The sequence below is a fragment of the Homo sapiens genome, chromosome 11 (genome assembly GCF_000001405.40).
Source record: "Homo sapiens chromosome 11, GRCh38.p14 Primary Assembly".
Classification (NCBI taxonomy): domain Eukaryota; kingdom Metazoa; phylum Chordata; class Mammalia; order Primates; family Hominidae; genus Homo; species Homo sapiens.
In genome coordinates, this window is record NC_000011.10 from 127,053,069 (window position 1) to 127,056,841 (window position 3,773).

Here is a 3,773-nt window from a genome sequence, read left to right on the forward strand (position 1 = left end):
TACCCAAGCAGGGGTAATGGGGGAAGCATTGTGTGAAGACCCCAAAGTAGTCAAAAACATGGCAGATTCTCAGCAATTTAGAAGATGGAAGTCACAGGACTTAAAAGTGGGTTGACCTGGCAGAGGATGAGGGAGGGACGAGCGCCAATGGTTCCCAGGGGTCTGGCAGAGCAGCTGCATGGGCCACTGAGTCATTTCACAAGGTGAGGGATGAAAAAGCGAGTTCTTTCTTTCCTTCTTGCTTTCCTCTCTTCTTTTTGTTCTTTCAGGCTTGCTGATCGGTACAGCTGAGAACATGTTGAATTTGATGTGCCTGTGGATATTTGAGTCTGGAACATTGAAGACAAGTTTGGTCTGGAGATGTAGACTGGGGATATCTCAGCACACAGATGATAACTGAAATGATGGAGCGGATGATATAAACTGGAGAGAGTCTGGTGTGGGAAGAGTCTTCCCTGAGGTGGCCGAAAGATGTAATTCTTACTCCAAAGACTGAAATAGAGACAAGAGAAGCTGAAGTTACAGGGTTTTGTCATTGGGAAGACAGTAGAGTGTGTCATATCCCAAGAGTGAAGCAAGGACAAACCAAAGAACAACTGGGAAGATCTGGGAGAAAAAGGGTGAGTGCAGTGGCTAGAAGAAGGGGGAGAAGTTTATGTGAGGAGCAAAAAACTGGGAGGAGTGAGTGGCTCTGGATATTGTCCTTAAAGAAGCTCCAGACTCAAGAGGCCCTTTCACGTGACGGCTGACGTGTGCTTGTAAGGTGGTCGTGGGCACTTTGAAAGGTAGTACTGGGCTGGACTCTATTATTCCTAACATTGCCAGGTGATCCTTGTGAGGCTAGCTTACATGGAAAAGGCCTTCAGATTTTTGTGCTTTGTTGAGCACATTGTGTTCTGCCTTAGTTTCTCCAAGGTCCTCATTTTTTTTTTCTTTTTTTCAAGAGACAGGGTCTTACTTTGTTGCCAAGGCTGGCTTCAAACTCCTGACTTCAAGAGATCCTCCCACCCCACCCACCCAAAGTGCTGGGATTACAGGTGTGCGCCACTGTGCCTAGCGGGTCATCAGTCTTTGAGATGCTGTTGACAAAGCCATTTGATGATATCAAAGAAGGAATGAAGCATAAGGTTTTTTGGCCCCTCTGCTTGGGATGCCACTTGCAGGCAGAACTCTCCACAGTTTTACCATCCAGTGAAGAATCACCTGTTTATAGCCTGTGTAAAATCAATGATGCTTCTTGGAAACAAGTCTATTCTCATAGACAGCTTGACGTTGCATGGCTGAGTCATTTGTCAGAGTGCTCTGGCTTTAAATATACCTCCAAGTCTTAAGACACATGAACTTTTGAGGTGCAGGAATCAGCAATTCTAAAAGGCACAAGTCTTCCATCCAAGGTCCTGGTTGCCTTCTAGATCCTGTTCTAACAAACATATCTCCAAATCTCATTTGCTTAACCCCATACAAGTTTATTTGCCGAGAACATCAAGGTGAAGGTATGCTCCATGAACTAGCAGCATTGGCATTACCTGGGAGCTTGTTAGAATTCAGAATCTCAGACCCACCTCAGACCTACTGAATCAGAATTTCATTTTAACAAGATCTCCAAGTGGTGTGTAAGCACATTAAAAATTTGGAAGTGCTGCCCTAGATTACCAAAGTATCCTTGATGGTTCTCATAGCAGAGGGATAAAAGGAAATCAGACACGATGAAATAGAAATAGGAGAAGACAAACAGAGGCAGTTCTACCTGCTGTTAAATCTTGAATTATGCCAAACTATGTAAAGTCTATGCCTGAAATCTCAGCATACGAGTGCCCAGGGCATAAGCTATTGGAGCCAGCCTTGGCTCATGACCAGTGCATTGTTCAGTTAGGTGGTCCTTCCCCTTCCATGCTTGTTTACCTGGGGGACAGATGCCAGGGCAGGCTGATTTCCATTTCTTCAGCTTGCCTCTTTGCCATTACTGCCTGGGCATGCAGGTGGGAAGAAGAGGGACTAATTGAGTGCATTTGATTATAAATGGAAAATACAGCACAGTTTTTCCCCCGTGTGGCACCCCAAAGAGCTAACATTAAGGGGGTGATTACTGGCCCTTTATTATTTTCATTTTGGTAAATCTGGTTTTCTTGCACCCCCACACCTATGTTCAGGGTTAATTCTGTGTTATTTTCTCCCTGCAGGCCTGTGCTGAGTGCCACAGGGAACAGCATTTAGCAACATCAAGCAGGAGAGGCAGAGAAAGCAGCAATAACTCCACATATGACTTGGAAATTGGCTCAGTCTCGTGGCAGGAGATGTGTGTTTTTATGGTGTTAAGTGTGAAGGAGTGAAAGCAGCCAGTGATCAGGAGCGCCAACGCAGCTCCTTCCCAGGAGCCTTCCCGGCTGCTTCCCCTTTGTGGGAGATGTGCTGGAAGGAGTACTAAGAGGAGAGATGCTTTGCTTTAGTAGGATGGCAGCTTTGGGAAAGAGACGCGAGAGTGAGTGTGCAGAGAGCTTGTTCTGAGTGCAAGAGATAAGTGGGATGAATCCTGTCTTAGAGGCAATCAAGCAAGAGAGGATGGGGTGGCAGGCACTTCAGCTCTCTAGCCCCTCCTTCCAGGGCAGAGCCATTTTAGAGATCCACGTCTTTTCCCCATCCATAGGCTGCTGAAGCCAGAAACAGCCCAGCACTTAAGAGGGGAGCGGAAAATGACATCACTAGTCTGGGCAGTATCTTCTCAGCCTAAACCATTATTCCCTCCCTCCCTTTTAACAAAGACTCCTAGTTTCCCACCCAATATCCAGTCTCCATTTTCTTCCTAACTGAATGTTGACTTCTTCCCCCTGGGAAACAAGATATCAAGGAAAATGATGCACCTTGTTTGCCTCCCTTGCAAGTGGGCCTGGCCCATCCATCAGAGGTAAGTAGAAGTCATCAGGTGGGGCTTTCAGGCAAGCTCTTCAATGAAGCTGACTCAGCTGGGGGACGATTTTTCTCTTCCTCCTTCTTTCTGCCTAATATGTGGACATCTGTTTGGATCTTGAGGCAAATTCGATGACAGAATCACATCCTAGAGGTATTAAAGCAGACGTTTAGGAGGACACTGGTACCTGATGACTGCTGTATCTGCCTATGACTGGACCTCAGTGTAAGAAGCCACTTGTTTGAATTTTCTGTGCATGCAAGGAACTCCATTCTAAGTGCTGTATCTCTCGCCCATGCTGCCTGTATTAGGTAGGGAAAGTAAATTTATCTGCTGTAACAAACAACTTCCAAATATTAGTAGCTTAACCCAACAAAAGTTTGTTATTCACGTTGAGACAAATGCATACATAACTGGTTGGCCGGCAGCCTCTCTGGGACCCAGGGACACGTGGTCCTTCTGTCTGTGTCTCTACTGAACCATATGCCCTTCACATCTTCTGTGTGGCAGCAGCTGGGGAAAGTGAGCAGGACTAGTACATGAGTGGTTTTATGGGCCATGCCCGGGGGAGGCACAGTCAGCATTCACTGAGATTTCATTGGCTAGAATTCAGTCACATGGCCACAGAGGGCGCTGGGAAGTGTAGTTTGGGTATGTGCTCAGGAGGAAAAGGAAATTAATTTTGGTGAATACATCATAGTTTGCCAACCACACCTAAAAAAAAGGAAGAAGGAAAGGAAAATAAAGGAAGAAAAAAGAAAGAGGAAGGAATGAAGGAAGAAAAGAAGGAAAAAAGGAAAGAAACAAAAAGAAAAAGAGAAAGAAAAGGAAAGAAAAAAAGAGAAAAGGCCAGTAAATGCTCAATTTT

At 45.5% G+C, this 3,773-nt stretch overlaps 2 annotated features.

Moving 5' to 3' along the window:
- Nucleotides 230-1,429: an enhancer, noted in NCBI's record as "BRD4-independent group 4 enhancer chr11:126923193-126924392 (GRCh37/hg19 assembly coordinates)". NCBI's record gives its function as "activates an origin of replication core promoter dependent on BRD2, P300/CBP, MED14 and CDK7 cofactors, and independent of BRD4, by STARR-seq in HCT116 cells {active_cell/tissue: HCT116}" and the evidence as "EXISTENCE:reporter gene assay evidence [ECO:0000049][PMID:35650434]".
- Nucleotides 1,928-3,127: an enhancer, noted in NCBI's record as "BRD4-independent group 4 enhancer chr11:126924891-126926090 (GRCh37/hg19 assembly coordinates)". NCBI's record gives its function as "activates an origin of replication core promoter dependent on BRD2, P300/CBP, MED14 and CDK7 cofactors, and independent of BRD4, by STARR-seq in HCT116 cells {active_cell/tissue: HCT116}" and the evidence as "EXISTENCE:reporter gene assay evidence [ECO:0000049][PMID:35650434]".